Source organism: Homo sapiens, chromosome 15, assembly GCF_000001405.40.
Source record: "Homo sapiens chromosome 15, GRCh38.p14 Primary Assembly".
Classification (NCBI taxonomy): Eukaryota; Metazoa; Chordata; class Mammalia; order Primates; family Hominidae; genus Homo; species Homo sapiens.
Window position 1 is genome coordinate 80181816 of NC_000015.10, and position 27081 is coordinate 80208896.

Sequence of the window (27081 nt, forward strand, 5' to 3'; positions counted from 1 at the left end):
GCTCACTGCAACCTCCATCTCCCAGGTTCAAGCGATTCTCCTGTGCCTTAGCCTCCCGAGTAGCTGGGATTACAGGCGCGCTAATTGTGTATGTGTCAGTTTCCGTGCTTAACTAAAAGCTTGTGTTAGTTTCCTGTGGCTGCAGTAACATAGTACCGCAAACTTTGTGGCTTAAAACAACTGAAATGTATTCTCTCACAGCTCTATAAGGTACAAGTTCAAAATCCTCGTGTTGGCAGTGCCATGTTCCTGGAAACTCTGGGGAGCGTCTGTCCCTGGCCTCTTCCAGCTTCTGGTGGAAGCCTCTTTGTCTTGTGGCCACATCACACTGATCTCTGCCTCCACGGTCACATTGTCGCCTCGTCTTCTGTCTCATCTCCTTTACCTCTCTCTTATAACACACATGTGATAGCATTTAGAGCCCACCTAGACAATCTCCTCATTCTAAGATCCCAACTTAATCACATCTCCAGAAAATTTACTATATAAGGTAACATTCACAGGTCCTAGGGATTTGGCCGTAATTTAGTCCACTCCAGAGCTCTTGGAGAGCAAAGTTTAGTCCAAGTAGCAGCCACATAGTGCATGCCCAGTGTGGCTGTTGGTTAGTTCTTTGAATAAAGTGGATTTGGTAGAGAAGATGCAGGCAGAGCTCAAAACAGCAGATGATACCCATTATTAATCAATAAATACCCATTTTGCTCCCATTTCTGCAGCCTAATTATACCTCTCTAATTTGAATTTGACTATTTACTGAACATCTGCTAGGAGCCAACCATATTGCAGGCATGTCCACCTTCCTTATTTCATTTTCTACTCACAATAGCCCTTTGATGATATAATATCATTGCCCCCATTTTGCAGAGTCGAAAACTTAGGCTGATAGAAGGCAGGTTACTTGACAAAAGTCCCACAACTGGGGAAGCCAGTCTGCAACTGAGGTCTTCTGATTCCCCTGCCAAGTTTGTTTCTAGTCTTTCTGCAATGCTTGCCAGACCTACCGCAGGCCTTTGGTCACGGTTCTGTGGATTGAGTGAAAGCATTTTCTGAAGTTTTGATTTGGGGAAAGGAAGGAAAGAGATGGTGGCAGAAGAGAAAATGATGGCTTTAACTCTCTGTTGTCAGTGTGATAAGGGCCCCTGACTAAGCCATGCTAGACCAGGCAGCTGTCCAGGGCCTGGGAGAAAGGAGGCTGGTATCTAGCAGTTGGAATGCACATGTGTTCTTGACATTTGAGCCAGAGAAGGAAGGAGAAAGGAGCCAAGATGCCATGAGAGTCATTTCCATGTTTGTTTGTGTATACAACGCCTTACTCCGGAAGGATTTTTGGAGGCCAGCAGAGGAATTCAGGGAAAGGCAGTTCCTTGGATCTGAAGAAGCACATGTTGGCAAGTGAAGAGGGAAATGGGAACAGATGGGCAAAATCCCCTGGAACCAAGAAAGAAGAATTATAATTTGCTAAGAGGAGAGGCATACATTATGTGTTCATAAAAAGAAAAAAGAGAATTTCATACAGAAGGGGACCACTGAAAAACTCAAAAGAATGCATATTGCTAGAATTTGGGCTAAGCAGGGGGTAAGCAGAGGAGCGGGCAGGTGGAGGTGGTGTGTCAGCTGTGTTACCTTGTGCAAAGGTTCCCCGCATTGGCGGACGGCTCTGCCCTCACCTTCTACGACTTCACTGGTCACGTGGCCCTGCTGAGCTGCTTTCTTGCTTGAAAGCCACACATGGTTTCTTCAGCTCTTCCCGGCTTTCCTCCTCCTTCTCTGCACCTGCTCAGATGCCTTTATGGCTGCCTCTCATTTCCCTGCTTGCTCTTCACGGATGCTCCTTCCCCAAATCAATTTCTAACCATTGGAAACGCGATAGAACATTCAGAAGTGCTGGCATCAGCCAACGCCGCAGCACTTACTGCAGGCCAGACACTGTGCCAAGTGCTTTACCTGCAATACATTTTCTATTCCAAACAAGGCAGCTACTCTTACTGTCTCTATTTTTCAGATGTGGAAACTGAGGCCCAGAAAGATGCATACTTACCCAGGATCACACAGGCGATAAAGGGTAGAGCCAGGGTTTGAACACAGGCAGTTGGGCTCCAGGAGCTGTGCTCTGAACCCTTGTGTCCTGTTGCCTCTTTAAATGGCGCGATGAAATTCTCATTTCTGAGAGAGTCCAAAAACCACAAAATGTTCAGCAAGAGAACAGGTGAAGTAAACAAACCAAAAATATCAACAAAAATCTCTGATCGTCTTGGTTTAACTCATCCATCCCCTAGTCTCGCTCACAAACCCCATCTGGTGTTGAGCTTGCAACTTGCAAGGATGTGTTCTCGCAGGCATTTGCACGGATGGCTCTGCACTGCTGGACACATGCATTTCTCACTCTCCTTCAGATCTTTGATTTGTTGATAGTTATGATTTGTTGTGGATTCTTTCTTGGTATCTGACATTATTTGGAAACAATATCTGAGCAAAAGTCTTTCGTTTCTTGCCCTGCGTCTCTCAGTGGTGGCGTCTTTCACCTGGTGTTCCTGTGTCTCTGTTTATTCCAGTTTCTCTCCCCAGCATTATTGCTTGCCTTGCCTGGCACAGAATTCCTGCGCAAGGCTGACCAGGGGTCCCAGGGTGTAGAAGCAGTGACCCTTCTCCTTCAGGACCATGGTTGGGAGAGACTCTTTAAAAATGCTGCAGTTCCGAGTTAGTTGTTTTGATAGATGTTTAATAAATTTCTGCTGGGAGCCAGTTTTACTTTAATAGGCTTTTTTTTTCACCCCAGTGGTGTGGATATTTCTGAGCATTGAGGTGGAAAAGAGACTGACAGAAAATAATGAAAATGAGCAACAGAATAGGTGAGGTCGTTGCTCTCGACAAAGGGCATCCCTGCATGTTGTCAGCATGTGGGTCACGGGGCTTCTTAGGGCCCCCCAAAGGACAGCCTCACTGAACAGATGTGACAAATGCATCTCGTGCCTGAGTGTCTGAGCCTTTGCACGTGTTCTTCCCTCTGTCTGGAATGGCATTTTCATGTGTCTTCCCTAATGAACTCCTAGCTACCCGTCAAGGCCCAGCTAAGATATCCCCCCTTCCTGCTCCCTTTCCCTCCATGCTGCTCGCTCAGCACCTTGTAAGCATTTCTCTGTATCTCTCGTCTGGACCTCCCACTCCCTCTAAGTGGACCCCTCTCAAGGGCAGAGATGGGCTTCTCTCTGCTTTTCCATCATCCTTGTTGAAATGGAATTAAATGAAGGAAACTAATATTTATTAGTTTCTGAGATGTGCTGGGAATTTCACTGAAATATTTAGTCTAATCCTTACAACCTTGAGAGATAAGCGTTGTTTTTCTTGTTTGCAGATGAGGGAGGTGAGTTCTGAAGTCAAACAGCTTGTTCCCAGCCACCCAGCTCATAATGGTTGTAATGACTGACACTTACAGGGAATTTCAAATAGGGACTGGAGGCTGTTCTCAGAGTTTTCTATGCATTTGCTCCCATCATCCTTGCAGCAGTCCTGTGCGGTGGGCACTATCATAAGATCCATTGCACAGATGAAGAAACTGAGGTCTAGAGGGACCCAAGGTTACAGAGCCAATAAGTAGAGGAGCCAGGCTTTGACCTCAGGCATTCTGGCTTCAGGCTAATTGGCAGAGCGAGGATTTGAACCCAAACCCATGTGGGGAGAGTTGACCACTGTATTAGTCTGTTTTCACACTGCTGATAAAGACATTCCTGAGACTGGGTAATTCATAAAGAAAGAGAGGTTTAATGGACTCACAGTTCCACATGGCTGGGGAGGCCTCACAATCATAGTGGAAGGCAAAAGGCATGTCTTACATGGTGGCAGGCAAGAGAGAATGAGAGCCAAGTGAAAGGAGAAACCGCTTATAAAAACATCAGATCTCATGAGACTTCTTCACTACCATGAGAACAGTATGGAGGAAACCGCTCCATGATTCAATTATCTCCCACTGTGTACCTCCCACAACACATGGGAATTATGGGAGCTATAATTCAAAATGAGGTTTGGCGGGGGACAGAGCCAAACCATATTAGCCACAGGAAAGCTGTTGAGCCTTGCAGTGCCTCTGAGGATCCCTGGCTGTGGGGTGGGCCCGGGTTCTAGTCCAAGGGCTCCTGCGTGCAACTCTGCCCAGCTTCCGTGGAGGGTTATTCTTGTGTTTAAGATATGTGTGTGTGATTCTGATGGCACCTTCCTGCCTCGGGCCAGCTGTGTGCTGACGGGCACTGCCGCTGCCTAGGTGTTGGTTCCGGTGAGCCCAGCAACTTTGTGACTGATCCTTGTCCTCCTCTGTTCCAGGGTACTGCCAGGGGGATGGTTACCGCATCGGCTTTGGCCAGTGTGCTGGAAAAGTGCTGCCTGCTCTCCTGCCATCATGAGATTTTCTCTGCTCTTCTGGAAACAAAGGGCTCAAGCACCCCTTTCAACCCTGTGACTGGGGTCCTCCCTCGGGCTGTAGGCCTGGTCCGCCATTCAGTGACAAATAAAGCCATTGTGCTCTGAGGCCTGCACTGCCGCAGATGCAGCTGTGTCCACTTATGATCGTGATTTGATCCAGTGGGTCAAGGTGTGTAAAGCCTCCCTGCCAGATATTCATTAATATGTTTTCTCACTCTTATTAGTGAGGTCAGGGGTCTTTGTGGGATTTTCTTATTAGACATCCCAGGCCTCCTGGTATTCCATGGAATTTGAAAAGAGACTGGCACCTGTAGTAGTCAGGGCTCTCCAGAGAAATAGAACCAAGGAGAAAGAGATCGATTTATTGATTGATTGATTGATTTTAAGCAAATTGGCTTCTGGGATTCTGGAGGGTGGCAAGCCCAAAACCTGCTGGGTGGGTTGCTGGCTGGAGACCCAAGGAAGAGCTGCAGTTTGAGTCTGAAGCAGTCTGCTGTCAAAATTTCCTCTTCCTCTGGGAAGTGAGTCATTGTTTGGTGAAGGCCATCAACTGATTAGATGAGGCCCAGCCACACTGTGGGGGTCTTCTGCTTTACTCCACTGATTTAAGTTTTATTTCACCTAAAAAGTACTTTCTTAGAAACATGTAGAATAGCATTTGAGCAAATATTTGGGTACCTTAGTCTAGCCAAATTAATACAGAAAACTGCCCATCACAGCACCCTGCATGTCCAGTGTTTCTTGGGGCTAACGGATGAGCACATATGGGTTGTAGGCTTGGTTCATGGGCCCCGTGGCTGCGTCTCCACACTGTAAGCCTTGGGAAGAGCCTCCGAGTCATGGGTGAGCACCTGAACTGTGATGATGGCAGAAAAGGACCTAGCTTTTCACCTCTTGCAAGCCCACCAGAGTCAGGAGAGTGAGCTCTGCCCCATCTCTTCTGTCCCAACCCATTGCACACAGGCAGCCCTGGTTCTACCCTAGTTCCTTGGTGATGACAGCAGGGGAGTATGCCCTGCGACCTTTCCTGGGCCTGATGAGCCTTATACCGGGGCCTAGGGGGATAGTTGAGGATGCAGAGCCCATCCGTCAGATCGCACCATTCATTCATTCACTCAACAAATCTTTATTGAGCACCTTCTGTGTGTTAAGCACTGTTCTAAGGATGAGAGGCACAGCAGTAAACAGAATAGCCCATTTGAAGCTTACATTCGAGTGGAAAGAGATAGACAATAAACAGATAAGGAAAAGACATGTGGTATGACAGATGGTAATAAGTTTTATGGACAATTGGGAGATGTGGATGCTATTGTTAATGTGGTTAGAGAAGGCCTTAATCCCATAGTACATTTCTGCTAGAGAGCTGAAGGAGTGAGGGGAGCAGGCCAGATGGATATCTGGGGACAGAGTCCTCCAGGCACAGGAATCAGCCCGTGCAAAGCCCTGAGGATGGAATATGCTTATCATTTCTAAAGAACATCAAGGAGGCTGGTATTTCTTCCTTACATAAAAGCAACCTGGGGTCAGGAAGGCTGGAGTTAGTGTGGCAGCTGCACAGTGTCATTAAAGATACCTCTGCTCTGCCATCGTCGGTATGTGGTTTTTAGTCTCAGGGTTACATTATGATACAAAATGGCTGCTGGAGCTCCAACTAGTACATCTAAGTTCCAGGCCAGCAGAAAGAGACAACAAAGAGGTGAGGACTGGGAGGATGGAAGGGCAGAAGAGCCCTCCTTCCTCCTGAGTTAGGTCATTTTAAGCAGCTTTCCTGGTAGTCCCATACCACACATGTCTTAGATTTCATTGATGAGACACACCTCATTACAAGAAAGCCTGGAAATGTAGTCTTTCATCTAAACACATTGCTTGCCCTGTGAAAATTAGTTTGATTGCCCTAAAAGAAGGGGAGAATGGATACTGGGGGACAATTAGTAGTCTCTGCTACACACAGGCTGGGAAATATCATGCTCTGAGGCTGAACTGCTCCCCGTGGACTTTACTTCCTAGAGCTATGCTCTAGGGCCATATTCTCCAGTGCTTTGCTGATTTCAGTGGAAATGCTGTATAGGGCAGATGTCAGCAGGATCTCCCAGATGCTACTTTCCAGATCAGTGATGCAAACACTTCTCTGAATTTGGAAGACCAAAGCCTTCCCCAGGATTTTTCTGAATTCCTGGGGCTTATGTTCCCAGGGCTACATCTGCTTCTGTTGACTCAGCTAAAACCCCTGCTCTCTAGGCTGTGTTCTGAGATTGTTCCTAAACCCTTCTCTCCTTGTTCCTAAAGCCTTCTCTCCCGGCATCAACCCACAGGAGTGACTCATCTTTTTCTCAAAGCCCTCACCTGCACATGGATAAAAGGCCCTCGTGCTCTGCACAGTAGGGCTTTACTGGAGATCTCTGGGTCACAGGCAAAGGTCACTTAAAATCATTGTTAATCCACTTGTTCCCACTGGCACCAGAGAATGCTGGTGTCATCAGTAGAGATCACACGCTTATCCCCTTGTTGGGCATTTAATGCACTTAAAGGGCTTGGTGATGTTGGGAAAACCCAATGGACCTGCCCCAGAGTCTGAAACACACACAGGGCAGAAAGAGCCAGAAACGTTCCTGGCATCAGATTCACTTAAGAAACCAAACTCATGGATGTTAATTCTGGGTCCAGCCTGGGCTTTACTTGGCAATTACTTTTCCTTAATCTTCAGCGACAAGAGCCTCTTTGTTTTACTGTCTCCGACTCCAGAAATGCTCACTGCCAGCCCCACATGACAAGTGACTTTAATGGTCTTTAGTTTTGGAGATCTACTTTATTGAAACCTATCTGTGTGTAATAATATGAAATAGACAAGAATGACTTTCAGGGTCAAATTTCCTCTTTTTGACAGTGATATTTTAAGGACTAGAAGCATTTTGACCAGATGAATGGAGCTTTCAGACGGGATGATGAGCATCTCAAGGCAGGTTGGCCATAGTTATCACTATATCTTCCTTATTAATTTGTATTCCATTTATGCTTCCTGTTTTTAACCAGTGGTCCATTCGGAATATGAATGGATGACTGTGAAACTGAGAGTAGAGTTCATTTGAAACTTTACCTGACCAGGAGGAGTCAGTCCAGAGGTGTTTCTGGCAAGATGGGGCCCACTGCTGGTTTTATTGTAGGGTGGCAAGGGAGCTAGGCTCAGGGGCACGCTACTGCCCGGGGCCAGGGCAGGCACTAGGGGTTCCAGGGGCTGGGAGCCCCTGTCCCTATTGCAGAGGGGACTGGAGGAAGAGAAGCCTTGTTGCCCCCACCATGGGACTTCTCTGTCCTGAGGCCTCTCACACACATTGGTTTACCTTTGAAACACTGTACATTGAGAGCTCTCCTGAGGGTGAGTGTAGACTTGAACCAAGACAATGTTTTTGAGGACAAGGGAACTTTAAGGATTTTTTCTGTTTTTTTGTTTCGTTTTGTTTTTTAATTTTGAGAAAGGGTCTCACTCTGTCACCTAGGCTGGAGTGCAGTGGCACAATCTTGGCTCACTGCAGCCTTGACTTCTCTGGCTCAGGTGATCTTCCCACCTCAGCCTCCCAAGTAGCTGAGACTACAGGTGCACACCACCATGGCCAGGTGATTTTTTGATTTTTTATAGAGACGGGATCTCACTATGTTGCCCAGGCTGGTCTTGAACTCCTGTGCTCAAGTGATCTTCCTGCCTTGCCCTCCCAAAGTCCTGGGATTACAGGCATGACACACCATGCCTGGCAATTTTGGGGTGTAAAGTATCACAATTAATATTATCTCAAAGATTCCTGACACCAAAATGGATCTCAAAAGTGGTTCTATTTTCACATTTTCTCCCTTTCTTTAGTTTGGAAGCATATTCCCTTTAACACCCCCAGAAAAAGTAATTTGGCAGGGTTGTATCCTGAAGTACTAATTTGTTTTCTGTGTATCCCCTCTCTTTCTGTCCTCTCAGCAAGATTTCCAGGGCTGTGGGAGTATTTTGCTCTCCTTCCTCCTGCAGAGAGGCAGAAAGAAACTCGTGGGAGAGGGACCAAGACTGGATGCTTGCTTGCAAGCCTGTTTTTGTTTTTTAAAATTCTGCTCTTGAAAACTAAATAAGGCTGAGGCCAGTCTTATTTTCAGACTGTTTGCCAACAGCACACCAAAAAGTTGGAGTGACAATTTCTTTCTTGGAGAGGGAATGGAGTAGCATGGCACATCTATTCCCACCAAGGTCATGATCCTGGAAATAAATAGACCTTTGTTGTCTATGATGATTTGATCAATATCTGCCTTCATTGGATTTTCAGCTCCTTGAGGATAGTCTGCTTTTGCTTACTGAAAGTTCATCAGTACCTAGCACGTAAGAGCCGCTCGATGTATACTCATTCAGTAAGTGAATGAATTCTAGGAGAGCACTGGGAGCAGATTGTGTCTTATTGATAGGTCTACTTCTAGCATTTGCAGGGCCTAAGCTGAGAGTGCTCATGGAGTCTCAGTATTTAGGAGGTATAAACAAGCTATACACTGTTAAATAAAATACTTTCTATTCTCCTACCTAGATATGTTTGCTTTCATAATTGCAAAACAAACATATTTGCAAAGTGATGGCTTTTATGTGATTGAAAATTGGTAAAATATACAACTAAACTTAATTATCACCGCACTTGAAGAAAGTCGATGGGATGGCAATGTTTGGATGAGCATTAAAGACATAAATTCATGAATTTTATACTTTATACATTTTTAAAATCAGACTTTAATTTTTACAATTATTTTTCTTTCTTTAATTTCATTAGAATCATTAATTATGCTCTCCTGAGCTTTTCATATAATGTGTGGTTTATTGATGATATAAAAGATTAAAAAGTACATTGAATTATACTTCAGTGTACAAGAAGTAAATATCTTCATCAAAACTCTGTGTTAAAAATTGAAAAATTAAATTTTTCATATGCATTTTCAAAGTTAGTTTTCTTTGAAAATATTCAAAATTATTAATAATAAAAAGCGAGATACAAATAATTAAAGAGCTTTAATATTTAATCTCAAAATTCTTTAAATCAAAATGAAATGTCTAAATTCATTTTTTGAAAATGTAATAAAATCTGTTTTTGTTTTGTTTTTTGATATGGGGTCTCACTATGCTGCCCAGGCTGGCCTCAAACTCCTGGGCTCAAGGGATCATCCTGCCTCAGCCATCTGAGTAGCTGGAATTACAAGCCCGTGTCACTGCACCCAGCTCAAAAAAATTAATTAAATCTTATTAAATATATTTTATAAAAACAAAACTACTTTGCAGTCTTAGTGTTCACTGTCCACTTAGTTGCCAAAGTAAAGAATTAGTATCACTCTTTGTTTAGGTTATGAGACCCATGTGCCAACGAGGGCACATGTTGTGAGTCCCTTCAGAACCACAGATTGGAAATAAAGTTTGGTTTTAAAAATTTATAAAGTAGGTATGTAGTTGATGAATTTATGTCTTTAATTCTCATCCAAATATTGCCATCCCATCAACTCTCTTCAAGGGCAATGATAATTAAGTTCAGTTGCCTATTTTACCAATTTTCAATCATATAAAAGCCAAAAAAGAAAAAAAAAAAGCAAGAAAGTGGATATTTGATATAAATGGGAAATGTCATTTGTTTGGGGAAGAATCAGTTACATTCTGGCTAGGAGGAAGTGTGTAACAAGTTGAATAATCATTCCTTTCTCTTACCTAAGCGCTTCCACTGACATGTCCACCTCCAGGGTTGGACCTGCCACAGTCCTGCGTGACATTCACACAGTCTCTTTTATTCTGGGGACACAGGGCAGGGATGTAAAGAAGAACTCCCCTGGCTTGGACAGTATTACTCATATTTGCAGTACAGGTTGAGCTGCACCAACCTGAGGCCCGAGGGATAGAGGTGCTTGTATGAATTTGAACAAATTGATTTGTATGTGCGTATCTGTTATAAGCTGGGCCCTCTGTGGCATGAGTTCCAAGGAAGCCCCCACTCCATACCTTACCCCAGCCTAAGGGCAATATTGCTTCTTTACCTCCATCTTTGGACCCCACACGGTCTCTGATATTTGTTTTGTAATAGCAGAGACTTGTTCATTTCACACAACTAGTGAGTGGCAGAGCTGAAACTGGATTCTAGAGCTTTCAGCATCTAGGACAACACTCTCCCCATTTATGGTCTAGTGGTATGTGGACTTTGATTTCGGCCTGTGGAAGCAAGATTCTCAAGGGCAGGGCTGTGCTCTATGCATCTTTGTGTCCAAAGCCCCTGTTAGACAGTAGTTGCTTCTAAATGTGTGTGGCATTGTACTCACAAAGTTCCCCGTTTCGTAGCTATAAGCTCAAGCAAACTCTTCTTTCAAATGATATTAGTGCTGTATTTGGTAATCTAAGAGAAGAAAAAAGGAAAAAAAAAAAAAACCTGTGTGCACCAAGGTTGGTCACTGAAGCACTATTTTTGTAGCCTAACTTTCAGCCTCCTGAATGTCATCAAGTCATTTAGCTTTCTGGGGTCTCTCTTCCCTTAATATATATTCGTGGAAAGCTTGAGCTGCTGTCCTATCTCCAAAGTGAAACCGCATATCTCCCCACTTAATGGGATGACTGCTGTGAAATGGAGGTGGCTTCTAAGGGACAGCGTAATCTTTTTTGGGGGTATATGTTGACCAGCAGCCTCTGTATGGTCAGCTGAAGTATTCTCAATTCTGGGGTCCTTCTTAGTTATGTAGATGAGGCAAGTGGACACTCCTTTCCTTGGAAAAAGGGTATAGTTGGATATAACCAGGGTGCCCCTCTCTTTGGTGCAGAAGGGTGGAGAGGGAGTGGACCAAATTGCATAAGAAGTCCAAGGGATGTGAGAAACTGGTATTCCAATCCTCCCTCCTAAATAGTCAAAGTTAGAAAATTGGTTTGGGTGCACTGGTTGGGTCCTGACTGAGGTCTGTTGGCAGGAAGAACACCCAGGGCCCTCTGCAGATTCATCTCCCTTTGTCCCTCCAGATCTATTCTCCATCCTTCCCTGCCCTGCTGTTTGCGCACCTGGAGGCTGACCTCGTTGGACAACATCACCCAGGCTCATGCTCTCTGGCTGCTGGTTAGGATTGGCCAGTGGAGGTGCAGGCAGAGGTTGGAATATAGAGGAATAAAGCAGCAGAGAGCATCATCCTCCTTACTCTTTCCCTGCTGAGCCATGGTTTGGGCAGTGGCTGTGTCCCACTATGTCCTACTGCTCCTGTGGGCAACATAACCACAGTCTTTGCTAGATTCTGGTGCCACTGTTTTCTCCCCAGGCAAGGGGCAGTAATGGCTTCTTATCATTGTTAACCCTGGATTAATCATCAACCCTTACTGATTCTCTTTACCTTACCTGTCCCTCTGAAAATTGTCCCAAAATTAAACCCTCTTCATTGAACCTTTTGAATTTGCCGCTTAAATCCTGATGAATAAAGTCATTGGTATTAAGGGTGACAATTGGACCCATGGAGTGAGGGCTATTATTGTAGAAGTGGCCCCATGGAAGCCCTTGGAACTGCCTCTTTGTGACAAAATAGTAAACCAAAAGCAATTCTGCATCTTCAGGGCAATTGAATTGTGCCCCCTTCAAAGACTTGAGAGATGCAGGACAGGTGGTTCTAATCACATCACTATTTAAGTCACCTGTCTGGCTTATGCAAAAGCCAGGTGGGTCCTACAGATTTTCATAAACACAATCAGGAATTAATGCCATTTCAGGAGTTGTTCTGGATGTGGTATCTTTATTAGAGAAGATCCGCTCAGCCCCTGACACCTGGTGTGCACCTGGTATTGTACCTGGTGACTAGAACAGTAATTCTCAAAAGGTAGGTCTGGATTAGCAGCTTAACCTTGGAATGTGTTTGATGTACAATTTATAGAACTCCACTGAAGACCACCTGAATTAAAAATTCTAGGGGCTTACCAGCTGTGTTAGAATGAGCCGTCCCGGTGATTCTAATGCATACTGAAGTTTGAGAACTGTCATATTAGAAATAGTTTCCATTGCATCACAATCAATACAGATAATCAGAAGGAGTTCACCTTCACCTGTTACAAGACTGCGGCACACCCTAAATGCATTACCTCAGGGATCTGCCAATTCTCCTGGTTTCTGTCATATGATATGAGACCCTTATCATCTTGACAGCCCATAGAACTTTATGATTGCCTGCTACATTGATAACATTATGCTAATTGGATCTGGTGAATGAGGACTAGCAAGTGCTGTACTGCCACATGCTTGCCAGAGAGGGGAAGAAAACACATGTGGAGGTTCAGTGACCTGACACATTGGTGAAACTTCTTGGGTTCTAGCAGGCTGAGGCCTGTTGGAATATCCCCACTAAGATGAGAAACATGTTGCTTCACCTTGTGTCTTCCACCATAAAGAATGAGGCTCAGCAGTTGATGGATCTCTGGATTTTTGAGGCAATATATAGAACATTTGTGTGTGTGTCTGATGGATTTACTGGTTACATCATAAGATTGCTGGTTTTGAATGGGGCCCAGAATAATACAGGGCTCTAGAAAAGGTATATCCAGACTGTGATGAAAGCTACTCTGCCATTTGGACCTTAAGATCAGCAGATCCAATAGTGCCAGAAGTATCTGTTGCAAATGGAGTGCTGTATGGAATTCCTAACCATCTCCAATAGGAGAATCACAGTGTTGACCCAACTGAACAGGATGGGAAGAGAGGGTCCAAGGCAGTCTTGGGCAGATATGTGTGAAAAGACATCTTTGAAGGGGCCCTGGGTGTCAAGATATTCAAGAGCCATCTAAATGCCTATCAGAGGGCATCCACTGCAGAAAAGACTCTCAACGATCAGCTGGATAAGATGACCCAACCTGGGGGTGTGAGCCTCTTCCTCTGTCTACTCTGGTGTTTGCTCAATGACATCATGAACAGAGTGACCATAGTGGAAGGGATAGAGGCTATCAACACTATGGGCTTTCCCTTGTGAAGGTCCATTGGTTTCCATAACTTCTGGATATGTAGCCTTCCAATGAATGAGACCAATGCCAAGCCCCTGATATGGCACCATTCCCAGAGATGGGTGGTAGGAGACAGACCAACCGCTTACTTGGTAGCAGGTTGATTACACTGAATCCCTTTCATCATAGAGGGCAGTAGGAATAGACACATATTCCAGATATGGATTTGCCATTCCTGCCCCTCCCTGCCATTTGTGGTGTTTCATTCTTTCATTTTGTGCTGCTAAAACAGAACAACACAAACTGGGTAATTTATAATGAATAGAAATTTATTTGGCTCACGATTTTGGAGGCTGCAAAATACAAGATCAAGGAACCAGCATCTGGTGAGGACCTTCTTGTTGCATCATAAACATGGTGGAAGGAATCACATGGGCAAGAGAGAAAAGAGGACCAAACACCCCCTTCATAACAAACCCACTCTTGAGATAACTGCATTAATCCATTCACTCCGCCCTCATGGCCTAATCACCTCTCATTGGGCCCCAGATCTCAACACTGTTGCAATGGGAATCAAGTTTCCAACATATGAACTTTGGGGGACACATTCAAACCACAGCATATTCATCTCAGCATATCCCACAAACATGGCCTTTAACCAAGAAACCTTAGGTTTTGTGGGTTTGGAAATCTCTAGTGACCAAGAGGAACTGCTTCCACCAGGGAATATAGTTATGGGTCTGTTAAATTGGAAGATGATCTTGTGCCATCTGGGGCTCCTTATGTTGAAATATTGGCAGAGAAAGAGATCACTGCACTGTCAGGATGGTTAACCCCAATATCCAAGGGAAAGTGGGGTTTCTGCTACACAATAGGGGCAAGGAGTACTAGCTTTGGAACCCTGGGATTCGCTAGGGCACTTGGTACTCCCTGTATCCCTTGTCCTCATTCTGTAAGCCTGAGGTGGGGGCATGAAATTAGATTTCTAACAAGCTCCCCAGAGATGCCAATGCTGTCCATCCGTGGACCATAGTTTGAGTAGTGTTGCCCTAGAGCACCTGCTATTCTTTCTGATAATTTTACAGAGCTTCCAGGTGAGATCTTCAAGGCCTCTTCATGTTCTTTAGGAATCTGTGGATACTGTGGCAACTCATTGAAGACACGGCACTAAGAATTTGAATCCTCTGTGGATGAAGATTTGGGTCATTCCACCAGATAAAATTCTCCAACAGCTAAGGGACTGCCAGAAAGTAGAGGGGCTATGGAATGGGTGGTGGGAGAACAAGACTGCAGTTACCACTCTGGGCCTCATGACCAGCCACAGAAGGGGGCACTAGCAGTTGTGCTTTACAGGAAGTGTTCCACTTACCCGGGACTGGCTACATTATGATTTAAGTTGCAGGAGGGAGTGGGACTAAATTGCTATCACCCCCAGACAATATGGCTGCTGGTGAGATTTTATGTTTCCCCTGTGCCGGGGACAAAATATTTTTCTCCCATCTAAGCAAAGTTTGTGAATGGCTGCTAAGTGGTAATAAGATGAATTGTGCTGGTTTTTCTTCTTTTGCTCCAGTGTGCTGCCTATGTGGACCGTATCACCCAGGGTCCCCTGACCTTTAGCTTCTGTTGTTTTTGGCCAATGGAAGACCCAGACAGGAGATTGGAGGGCAGGAGGCAAGAGGTCAAGGTATTTATTCCCCCAGCTCTCTTCCTACTGAGCTGCAGTGGGTGCAGGAGTTTTGATCCTCTAGCTGTGGCCAGGGCTTCCATTGGGTGACTCCTTCTCCATGGCTATAGCTCTCCCTGGGTTCTAGATCCTTCTCCTTGTCTCTCTAGGCAAGAGATGGTAACAGTTGGTGGCCTGCCTGTTCCTGGGTAGTTTGTTTTTGTTTTTTATTTTTAGAGACAGCATCTCTCTTTGTCGCCTAGGCTGGAGTGCAGTAGTGTGATCCTAGCTCATTGTAACCTCAAACTCCTGGACTCAAGTGATCCTCCCACCTCAGACTCCTGAGTAGCTGGGACTATAGGTGTGCAACACCACAGCCAGGTAATTTTTTTTTAATTATTTTATTTTTTGTAGATAAACAGATTCTTGCTTATGTTGCCAGGCTGGTTTCAAACTCCTGGGCTCAAGCAATCTGCCTGTGTTGGCCTCCCAAAGTGCTGAGATTACAGACATGAGCTACCTTGCCTTGTCATCCCTGGGTGTTTTACTGTTCCCTGTTGTTTTCCATACCCTTGCCCAACCTCTGTAAATATTCTTTCATTAAACTGTCTTCAATCAGTGCTTCGTGTGTGCCATCTCTTTCCTGCCAAGACACTGAAAAGTCCCAAGGAGAACCCTCCTAAAGGGAGAGAGTCTTTGCTGATGACCATCAAGCTCATAAGTAAGGGCTGGTGTGCCTGAGGCTGTGTGTCCCTCTGGACACAGGCAACCTGTCTTTGTGCTATGATTGGACAGAATAGCTGGGCACATGGATGTGGACCCAGATAACTCTGTTTGGGCACCTCTCCACAGGCTGGGCCACAGGACATTGTGGGTGGTCATTGATCATGCCTGGCAGAACCAGTCCTCAACAGCAAGACCTAGGGGGTATGAAACCACACTAGTGGACACACCAAACTTTGTAGTTCTCTTCACTTGGTGTTTGAAAGCAGGGCCAGCCCCTTTTGGATTGATTTAGCCTCTGAAGTTCTGGAAATTTAATGAGACAGGGAGACACTGATCTTTCAACTCGATAAGAACATGTAGACATTTCAGCAACTAATTGGAAAAAAATGAAATAGCTATGATGGGAATGATATGCCAGGATGGTAAAGCTAGGGTCCTACTATACATATCCACCTGTCTGAGCATCCTTAGAGGCCACATTTCTTCTAGTGACCATCACTCTGAACTCTTGGTTCTGCATATTTCTGCTACCCCACTTGTCTCTGGGACTGTTGGCCCCTTCCAGATTGTATTTCCCTAAGTGACCCACCACCGAGGTGTCTTCATTGTCCCAAAGACCACTGCTGCAGAGTGGTGGATCATTTATCAGACTTTAGAGAGGGCTTGGGGCAACATGAAGGGAGTGTAGCTGAGCACAGTACAAGCAACAACTTAAAACTGGCCACTAGGCACCATTGCCTGGAAAACCCACCACCCATTCTCTGCTTTGGAGAGTTCCTCTCCAGCCTGTGTTCTCCTTAAGTCCTGGGTTGTGGCTACCTTCACAGGCCTCCCATTCTCTAAATGCTTTTCATTTCTTGTCTGCCAACTTCTAGCCTTCAATACTTCTGTGCATTTCTTTTGCAGATCAGTTTATCTTTCTATCCACAACCCCAAAGTTCATCTTAGCTTGCCAGAAACGAGTTGAGACGCTCTGATCACAAAGGACCATCTCCTCTATGCTTCAGCAGCATAATGCAACAACTGAAGCCTGAGATTCCAGTTGCTTTTTTCTCCTTAATATGATCCAGTTCTTAGACAGGTCTCCCTCCCCCATGTGCTCCATGTGTCTCTTAAATGGAGAGAGTGTACTGTAAGTATTTATTCTCCCCTGTCTTAAGCAAGCTCCCCGGCTTCATCATATCTATCTTGATCTTTCTTTTTTTGCTTGGAACATGTACAACAGGGAAAATGGAAGAAATCCAAATATTTAATAATAGGAGTCTACATAATTATATATGTGCACTAGATGTCATGTTTTATGGCCATTAAAATGACAAGTGTGAAGAATGTAGCAGCAACATGAAAGTATACTTGTGATGTAATGTTAGGAGAAAGAGTATGATATAAAATTATGTAGCAGATCATCTTTATGAAAAAAAATCTTGCATGAGGACAATGATTAGAAGGGAATATATGGACACAAAATGAAAATTGCTGTTTTTTGGAGGCTTGGGTTGGGAGTGCTTTTTATATTTTCCACCCTTCCTGAAATGCTACTATTTCCTGTTGCCATCAAACAAGAGTCAAGAGATAAGGTGAAACCCATTAGCAAATCTGAGTGTGGAAAAGAATTAATTAGGACCAAGGGATTCTCAGGCAGTGCTTCTTAAACTTTAACGTGCACATAAACCACCTAGCGAATCTTGCTAATATACATTCTGTACGTAGGTCTGGAGGGGGCTGTGAGTTTGGGTTTCTAACAAGCTCCTCAAGTATTGCAGAGGCTGTTTGTCCTTCAACCACAGTTTAAGTTGCACTGCCCTGGAGCACCCTCTTTTTCACCCCTGAGGGTTCTAAAGTGTGTCGGGGAGGTCTGGAAGACCTTTTCTTTTTCCTGGGGTCTGTTATTAGCTGACTGGGAGTTGGTTCTAGTTTGCATTGTAAATGCATGCTGATGAGCTTTTCACAGAAATGCCTGGCTTCTCAAGGTAGGCTTCAGAGTGAGGGCTGCTGCTGCTGAACCTGAGGCAATGCACAAAAGGCTTTTGCTTTAGATCCTCCCCATCATACAGGGCCTTCCCTGCATCTTGGTTCACTGCCTTTGCCAGCTGTCCCTTCGTGCATTCCACAATAGTGGGGATAGGGGTGGGTAGGAGAGGGGTATGAGAGGGATGACAACTGGATAGCCCCTGAAATGCTGCCTGAAGAGCTGTGGCCTTGTCCACATTCAGGGGTCACCTAGTAGTGATAGTGCTTTGGAACCCATTTTCCAGGTGGCCTGGGCTGTGGTGGGGACTAATGGCTGGGAGGCAGGCAATGAGAAAGAAGTCTTGAGCTTCTTCACAGCTGCAGGTCTCTTGGATGGGGATGGAAGGCCACAGCTTGGAGGGATGGAATAAATGCACTCAGAGGAAGGGGAGCTCAGGTGCTCTCATTTAACTTCGTACCATGTTATGGGAAAACTGATGACAAAGGCAATTATGTAAATTGGTAGACGCCATATCCCTTGAGGTCAGGTGCTGGGAAAGGCTGCTGTGAGTGTTCCTCTGACCAAGTGGTTCCGGCTGGGAGATTTGGCCTGTAGGAAGCAGCCCTCAGAAGTTGAGAAAAGCTGAAGGTGCCAGGCTCTGTAGGGGCAGGGGGCACCCAGAACCTCTGCTCCTCCCAGCTCAGACCCCTGGCTTCTCCTGGGGTGGTGAATTCAAGAACATTCATGTTTGCCCATGTTCTCTCATTTCGTCCTCACAACAACCTTGCGAGGTAGATGTTATTCCCTCACTTTACAGGTGAGGAAATTGGGGCTCAGAGAGGCTGAGTGAGTTATTTGGGGTCCTCTAACAAGGAAGTAGAGGAATTGGGACTTGGGGCCGGTTTTGTAGGCTCTGCTCTAATGATTTTGCTGCAAGGTCATAGATGTAGGTGATGGAGTGGGAGTGGGGTGGAGGGCAGAAAGAGGTGGGAGGAGGGAGGGCCTGAGAAGAGCCATCATCGATGACTTCTTCCTTGCCCCCCAACTCCGACTATAGCACATTCATAGTATATTCACTCCCCTTTCTGTCCTTTCGTTCACATGAGGTATATGCAAAAAATAAAATTTTAAAAATGACAAGGCTTTTCCTATCTTACAATGAGGAAACTGAGGCGCTGGGAGGTGAAGTGACTTGCTCAAGGTCGCATTGTAACCTGACTGGTAAATGCGAGACTAGAACCCAGGTCTCCCCATTCAATATTCATCTCATGGACTGTGCACCCCCAAAAAGGGTACCGGGCGAAATCATTTTGTGTGAGGAAAAAATAGTGGAAAATAATTAAATATGCAACCAAAGGAGATGATTTTTTAACCATGACCTACCCAACCGATGGGATGCCCTTCGGTCACTAAAACTGGCAGCTAAGAAGAGTGTTTGATGTAATGGGGAAGTATTCCTGCTATCATATGAGGCGATACAACATCATGCACAGAGTATGAATTTGACTAAAAAATACAAGTAAAAAGGCTGGAAGAAAATATATCAAAATGGTGGTTTCCGGGAGGTGGGATTATAAGTGTTATTTCCTCCCCCTTTCTTTCTATTTATCTGCATTTTCCCAAGTTTCTAAAATGTACATTTTATTTATAACAGGAAAAATATATCCCTCTATATTTTAGTTTAAAAAAATACTGCTTGGAAGCAGCCCATATCCTGTGCGTTTTGTGAATTTTCAGGTGAGACTCCCTCAACCCGCTTTCCCCCCTCACTGCCACACCACTGCTAGTCCATGGGGAGGGGGCTGGGGTTCAGGTGGGACCTCTTGGTTGGGAGCCTCCATTGCTACTTTGCATTTAAAGGACCGAGAGTCTCCTCAAGACAAGACCACTGTTATGTGATGGATGGGGGGTGTCTGTTGCTGGATCCAGTTCCAAAAGGTGCCCAGGAACCTGGGAAGGTGACTACCCTATCATCTCACAGGGACTCCCCACACTGGAACCCCAGCCTCCTGGGTCCTGGTCCAGGGCTCTTTTCCCCTGGCTGGTCCATGGTTGCGACACCCACGGCACCCGGGCATTCCACGCTGGTGCTCGAGGGAGGGCTGAGAGGGCTAAGCTGCACCTTCTGTTTCCCTGGGTGGCCAGATTCATTCCTTGCCTCTGTGGGATGGCAGGCTGGCAGGGAACACACGGATGCATCCTGGGGCACAGCCACCCACAGAGCGCCAGGTCCAGTCCCCACAGCCGCTGTGCCTCAGTCGTCCAGGTGCTGCTCCTCCCAGGTGGATGTGGGGATGGCGCTGTAAGGGTCCATGATGACCTTGGCACAGCGGATGATCATCACGACAAGGAAGAGGCAGAGGAAGACGAAGCAGGCCAAGGTCAGCCCTTTGTCTACGTCGACATAGACGGGCTCGGGCGTGGGCTCCTCCATCTCGCGGCAGCGACTGCGGGCTGCTCCTCCTCCGCCTCGGGTTTGACTGGTACCATTTTCCACCCCTGCAGAGACAGCCACAGCAGTGGGGAAGGAGGGGCATGGTCAGGTGCCTGGGGTGATTGCAGGGCACCAACCTCTGCTCCCTCTTATCTGCTACCCCTGCACCGAGAGCTTGCTGCTCAGACCACCCTGCAGGAGGGTAGGAGGGGATGGGTACACATGGACCCACATGGTCACAGCCCGAAACCTTGTAGGTAAACCAGAGTCTCTAGCAGGGTGCAGCCAGTGCCTCCCCAGACTGGGGCAGGGGAGGTGACAGATGAGTCCCAGCAGGCATGGGACTAGGGTGGGGCTGAGGGTTGGGTGGGGATAGAGGCCCTGCAGCTGCCTCCACTCCATGAAACCCTTTAGAAAGGCAGTTAGGATAATGCTTTCCATTTAGCCAAGCCACTATCTGAGGGTGATCTGAAAGCATTCCAAAAATTGGGTAATTATTATATTTATACATGTATTTTACAGACAGGGTCTCACTCTGTTGCTCAGGCTGGAGTGCAGTGGTAAAATCATAGCTTACTGCAGCCTCCAACTCCTGGCTCAAGCAATCCTCTTGCCTTGGCCTCCCAAAGCATCAGGATTACAGGCGTGACCACTGTGCCTGGTCTATCATGTTTTGAAAGCATAAGAACCTAGATTTCAAATGAAACCTATTGTGGAAAACCACAGAGGAATAGACTGAGGAGGGGCTGCTGTCATGGAAGAGAGTGAGAGGCTTGGAGGGTCTATATCCCCTTCCCTGCTGCAGGTCCTCACAGGGACTCTCTAGAGACTCCTGCTGACGCCAGCACATGGCCTGAAAACTGTAAGTGTTATGGGAAGAACAGTTTTGGCAGTCACGTGGAAGAGTCCCAGCTCTGCCACCACCCTGCAGGGCAGGTCTGGACAGCTCTCAATTATTGTTAGGACTCCAGCGGTAGTGCCTACACTGACACATCACTCATTCATCTTGGGATGATTTGCAACTTCTCTGGGTCCTAATTTCCTCCCTGCTGAGGAAAGGTGGCCATACCTGCTTCACAGGGATGTGACGACCAAATGCACAGTCCCTGGCTCCAGTGGATGGTCAGTACATACTTTGAGTGAACTGGGAGCTCGAGGAGCTGGCTAGGAGCGAGCAGGCAGCTCCCCAAGTTCAGCTGCCAGGGACAGCTTTAGGAGGAGGGCCGGCTGCTGCTCCCTCTCCCCATACATAGCATTCGTCCCTATCCTCATCCCTGAACTTGTGGAGTGCTTGAACTGTACTCTGTGCTTCGTGTTCTGTCTGTTATTTAAAGCTCATGATACCCCTGGAAGCAAGTTACCCAGGCATCAATAGGCCCATTTTATAAATGTGGAAACTGAGGCACTGAGCAGGGAAATGACGTATCCAAGGTCCCACATCCCACACCCGAGGTCCCTACATGTCTCTGCCTCCTGTAGTGGGGCTCCATCTTCCCCACCCACTCTGGAGCTTCAGGAAGATACCTGTGTGTGCAAGCTTGGAGCCCGCTGGCTGGGGAATATCTGTAACCACAGTCAACCACGCCTTCCCCTCTCTTAGACCTTGTCTCAGCCCTCATCACTCTCGGGGGACACTGACCTGCTGACTGGAGTGGTCACCACTTCATAAGGACCCTGGCTGTTCCAGGAGGCACGAGGAGCGGTCAGGCATCATGGGGGTCACCCAAGGAGAACAGTGGCCTTTCACTGAGAGCAGGCACTGTGCTGGCTCGTGGGGGCGCTGGAGTGTGACTGTAAGAGAAAGAGACAAAGAAGACTAGTTATTTCCTGAGATGCCCAGCCCCAGATTTGATGTGGACTCGCCTGGGTAGCTCCTCCCTGGCATGGGGGTGGGAGCTGCCACACTCTGTTACTTGATGTTGATTTCTTCTCTCTTTTTAAAATATAACAACTTTCAAGTCTGTAATCCCAGCACTTTGGGAGGCTGAGGTGGGAGGATTGCTTGAGCTCAGGAGTTCGAGACCAGCATGGTGAAATCCTGTCTCTACAAAAAGTACAAAAAGTTTAGCCGGGCGTGGTGGTGCATGCCTGTAATCCCAGCTACTCAGGAGGCTGAGGCAAGAGAGTCACTTGAACCCAGGAGGCGGAGGTTGCGCCGCTGCACTCCAGCCTGGGCGACAGAGCAAGACTGTGTCTCAAAAAAAAAAAAAAAAAAAAAAAATATATATATATATATATATATATATATATACACAAACACATACACACATGCACACACACATATATATTTATAAACTTAAAAAAATGTGACCACATACACATAATATAAAATCTACCATCTTGACCATTTTAAAGTGTACAGTGGCATTTATGTGTACTGTTCAGTGGCATTAAGTACATCCACACTGTGGTGCAGCCATTGCTGCCATCCATCTCCAGAACTCTTCATCTTGCAAAACAAACTGTGCGCTCATTAGACCATAACTCCCCATTCCCCTTCCCCCAGCCCGGGGCGGCCACCATTCTACTTTATGTCTCTATGAATCTGACTGCTCTACATACTTCATATAAGTGGAATTGTACAGTATTTGTCTTTTTGTGACTGGCTTATTTCATTACGCATAATGTCCTCCAGCTTCATCCATATTGTAGCATGTCAGAATTTCATTTTTTTTAAGGTCCGAATAATATTCCATTGTATATATATATATATATATATATATACCACATTTTGTTTATCCATTTTTTCATCAATGGACACTCAGGTTGTTTTCACCTTTTGGCTGTGTAAATAGTGCTGCTATGAATGTGGGTGTACAAATCTCTCCTTGAGACTCTGCTTTCAATGCTTTGGGGTATATAAGCAGAAGTGGCATTGCTGGATCATATGGTAATCATGTTTTTAACTTTTTGAGGATTAAATTGAACATTTTGCGTAATTAATAGTTGTACACTTTTCAAAACTCAAAAAGCACAAAAAGAAAACAGTCAAAGCAGTGTTTTTACTACCCCTCTCCCCAGCCATCTAGTTCATCTCCAGAGAGGAAGCTACTGTTGTCAGGTCTTTATACATCCTTCTAATCTGGAGATATTTTATTCTTATACAGGAAAATATGTATGTTTATGTATTTGTTTTTCTAACAAATGCAAGCCTGTTATATAAACTGTTCCACATCTTTTAAAATTTAACATATCTTGGAGATTATTTCATGTCAGTACATAGAAGGTTGCCTCTTTCTTTTTAATGGCTCTATTGTATTTTGTTGTACGGATATCCCATAGTAAATTCAACCGTTCTTCTATCAGTTAGACAGAATTTCCAATCTTTTGTTTTTCATGTATTGATGGAGTAAATGTCCTTGTAGCGATGTCATTTTGCACATGTCTGAGTATGTCCGTAATTAAATTCCTTCAGGTGAAACTGCTGTGTCTAAGGATAAATTCATTTTAATTCTGATTGATAGTATTATTCTTGGAGGTTGTACCTATGTAAGCTTCCATTGGCAAAGGTTGTGAGGGATGGTTGTCCTACAGTTGAAACCAGCCCAGTTGTCCCATAGAACTGATATTTATGGGTTTTTTGAATAAACATAGAAATTGACCCTCCCAGTCTTAAAACTTGAAACTTACATTTGTCTCATCTGAGTTTTTTCCTTAGAAAACTGACTCTCAGGCAAGGGACTGAAATGCACCAGATCCCGGCATCCAGACAACGAGACACCAGACCCCTCGTTCATCTTTCTTACTGTTCCTTACCTTCCTAGTCCAACTTTTCCACATTCTTTCCCTAGTCTATAAACCCCCAATTTTAGTCAGTTGAGGCGATGGATTTGAGACTTCTCTCTCATTCTCCCAGTTGACATCATGAGAATAAAAAGCCTTTTTCCCTGGAAATACTCATTGTTTCAGTTACTGGCTTTCTGTACAGTGAGCAACAGGACCCAGACCAAACCCCTGGTGTTTCAGTCACACAATCTTGAAAATCAAGTTATCCTTTATTTTTGCCAATTTGAAAGAAAATTTGAAAGAAGATGTTACAACATCTTATAGCAAACATTTTCAAACACACAGAGAAGTTGAAAGAATTATACAGTAAACAAATATATACTCACCACCTAGATTCTATAGTTGTTAACGTTTTGCTGCATTTTAAAAATTTCATAGTTACCCACCTATCCATCCTTTTTATTTTTGGAATGCATTTCAAAGTAAGACGCAAACATTAGTACACTTCACTTCAAAGCACTTCAGCGTGTGTATCATTAACTAGAATTCAATATTTGTTTACAGATTTCTTAAAAGGTAAAATTTACATGTAGTGAAATGTACAAATATTAAATGCATCATTTTGAGATTTTACAAATGTATATACCCTTGTAGCACTCAGAGTAATTTTCATTTATCTTCGTGAATGAAGTTAAGCATCTTTGCATGTGTTTAAGATCCATTTGTCCTTCCTTTTTTGTGAACTCTCTGTTAATATCCTTTATCTATTTTTCTATTGGTTTTTTGGTATCTCTCCTTTTTGGCCTTGAAAGCAGAGAGTTGAAGTAAATATACTCATTTTATTTATTTTTATTTTAGTTTATTACTGTTTTTTTCTTTATCCCTGATTCTTACTCTTATTTTCTCTTCCACTACCTAATTTTAGTCACTAGTATTAGCTTTCTAATTGTTTACGTTTGTTCTTTTAAATGTGTGTCAGTTTCTGTAATTTGAATTGTCAACTTTAGATGTATATTTATTCCCAGCTGTAAGATATTAGGAAATTAGGGAGCTTATTTTAACTTTCACCTCCTTTTCCCATTCTCTTTCCATTGTCAGTTAGTTCTGTTATTTCTACACGGTTAGGGGATGTAACATTTATATGTTGTTTTTGCCCTTATGTCTACCTTAGTTTTCATTCTCAGTTTTACAGTGACATCTATTTAAGGCTTCCCACCAGTCCTTTGGCTGAAGTTTTTCTATCATCTCTTGTTTGGCTGTAGATTGTTGTCTACCATGTCCTTCAGGAAGAGGTCATGTGAATAATATTCCCCAAGGTCTTGTCTCCCTTGAAGGGAATGTATATTTTTCTCTGCCTGCCTTAAAGATTTTCTCCTTCTCTTTGGTTTTCAGCAGTTTTCCTGTGAATGTGCCTATGTGTGGTTTTCTCTGGATTTTCTTGCTTAGTGTTTGTACTACTTCTTGAATGTTACTTGATGTCAGCTTCTGAAAATTCTGGGCTCTTTCCCTTTTAAATATTCATCTGTCCCATTTTCTCTCTCTTCCCTTTCTGGTGCTCCAGATACACTTAGACCTTTTCACTGTGTCACAATTTTATTTGTTATGCTTTTTTCCTGTTTTTTTTTTCTTTTTATGCTGTAGTCTGAATATTTTTATGAACTAACTTCAAGTTCATTAATCTTGTCTTTAACTATGTCCCATCAGCTATTAAATCTACCTATTCACATTTCCCTTCAGCCATACTTTTCAGTTTTAGAATTTCCATTTGATGCTTTAAAACAATTTCCAGCCCTCCAGTGCCATTTTCCACCTTGTCACTGATATCATAATTTTTTTGAAGTCCTTATTTGATAACTCCAATATCTAGGTCATCTGTGAGTTTGCTTCTATTGTTTATTTTTTCTTTTGGTTCAGTTTCTTGATATACCTGATAAACATTTCAGTGAGTTACTGAGCACTGATGTAAAACATTGCAGTAGCTCAGGGTGATGTTATTTTTCTGCAGAGAGGATTCACCATTTTCTCTGGTAAGCAACTATTGTGAAGCAGATCACCTCCATTCAATAAGGGGCTAAGCCCACTTCAGGTGGGGTTCACTTATTGTAAACAAGGCTGTGTCTATCTTTGGTTTGACAATATTCCTAGGGTGTTGCACTGTAGGGTTCCAAGTTGAGATCCTGGGATGTTTACTTGAGCTGTTCCTTTCTTGGCATATCTTAGATTCTAGCTTTTCTCCTTAGTGGCTTGAGATAGCTGAAAACTTCCTGGGGGAAATTATTCAGGATTATCCAGCAACTGGTTTTTGATTCTGCGCTGTGGAATGCAAGTTGTGAAACTTAAGAACATTGGCCATTCATTAATAGCCACTCACAACTATGAGGCCAGGCTTGAGGATGAGGAAATAGGTGTTTGGTCAAAGTTCTGCTGTTCTTTTGCCCTGGGATTTTGAAAGACGTTCACTGCAGTATTGTAACAGTGAAAAACTGGGAACAAAATTAACTTCTGTCAATAAGGAATGGTTAAAACAGCCATGGTATATCTGTGTCATGGAATACTCTTACTTCACTGGAAACACACGTGTGCACACACACATATGCACATACACACAATAGAGGGCTAGAAATTTTGTTAAGTGAAAAAGTAAGTTGATGAGCAATATCACAAATATGATATCATTTATGTAAAATAAAAAGAAACTATAAATTTTTTATGTACAATCTGCACATGCTGGGGGTGGAAGGTCAGTGCTCTCTACTCACTGCTAGATCAAGACCTGATCCTGCTTTAATTGCTTTTTTTTGTTTGAGAAATTTAAGACCTAGAAAAGTACAAACAATACTATAACAAGTACTTACATTTCCATGATGCAGAATTTGCAATTATTATGTTATCGTTTTTGCATTGTCTTTTTTTAAAAAATAAATCCTTACATTGTAACTCCTAACCTATAGAACCATTCCTCACACCCTCTCCAGCAGTATCACCATCATTAGTGTGGTATGCACTCTCCACTTTGGACATCCACAAAACCTCTAGGATTCCTTGGACCATGCTTTGAAAACATGGATCTAACCCATCTCCCTCTATTTCATAGATGAAGAGACTGAAGTGTAGGGGGAGGAGGACTTTTGCTCAGAGTCTCAGAGCAATAACACAGCAGAATTTGGAGAAGCCCATGTTTCCGACCCCATGCCTGTGCCCTGGGCCCTGCAGTGTGCATT

At 44.4% G+C, this 27081-nt stretch overlaps 2 protein-coding genes across 4 annotated transcripts in view, besides 3 other annotated features; one reads left to right on the forward strand and one right to left on the reverse strand.

The window, feature by feature from the left end:
* Positions 1-5134, forward strand: part of FAH (fumarylacetoacetate hydrolase) — a 34161-nt gene extending 29027 nt beyond the window's left edge. For 2 of the 3 annotated variants that reach the window (NM_001374377.1, NM_001374380.1), the window contains exon 15: positions 4315-5134. In NM_001374377.1, coding sequence (NP_001361306.1) covers positions 4315-4394 — 80 coding nt within the window. In that variant the 3' untranslated portion in view covers positions 4395-5134. The remainder of the gene's footprint in view (positions 1-4314) is intronic. The other variant, NM_000137.4, reaches the window with a different exon arrangement.
* Positions 4352-4852: an enhancer, noted in NCBI's record as "H3K4me1 hESC enhancer chr15:80478509-80479009 (GRCh37/hg19 assembly coordinates)". NCBI's record gives its function as "activates a minimal SCP1, AML or CMV promoter by ChIP-STARR-seq in naive H9 embryonic stem cells {active_cell/tissue: H9 hESC(naive)}" and the evidence as "EXISTENCE:reporter gene assay evidence [ECO:0000049][PMID:30033119]".
* Positions 7518-7687: an enhancer, noted in NCBI's record as "experimental_41453 CRE fragment used in MPRA reporter constructs". NCBI's record gives its function as "activates a minimal promoter by MPRAs in K562 erythroleukemia cells, with activity observed for both the introgressed and non-introgressed 15:80481760 variant alleles {active_cell/tissue: K562}" and the evidence as "EXISTENCE:reporter gene assay evidence [ECO:0000049][PMID:34662402]".
* CTXND1 (cortexin domain containing 1) overlaps positions 13666-27081 on the reverse strand; it is a 56733-nt gene continuing 43317 nt past the window's right edge. Inside the window, exons 2-3 of the mRNA NM_001352888.2 lie at positions 21774-21925; positions 13666-20199 (exon numbers count right to left, since the gene is read on the reverse strand). Of these exons, the coding sequence (NP_001339817.1) occupies positions 19955-20134 (180 nt within the window). The 5' untranslated portion in view covers positions 20135-20199; positions 21774-21925 and the 3' untranslated portion in view covers positions 13666-19954. The remainder of the gene's footprint in view (positions 20200-21773; positions 21926-27081) is intronic.
* Positions 15428-15597: an enhancer, noted in NCBI's record as "experimental_41475 CRE fragment used in MPRA reporter constructs". NCBI's record gives its function as "activates a minimal promoter by MPRAs in K562 erythroleukemia cells, with activity observed for the non-introgressed 15:80489670 variant allele {active_cell/tissue: K562}" and the evidence as "EXISTENCE:reporter gene assay evidence [ECO:0000049][PMID:34662402]".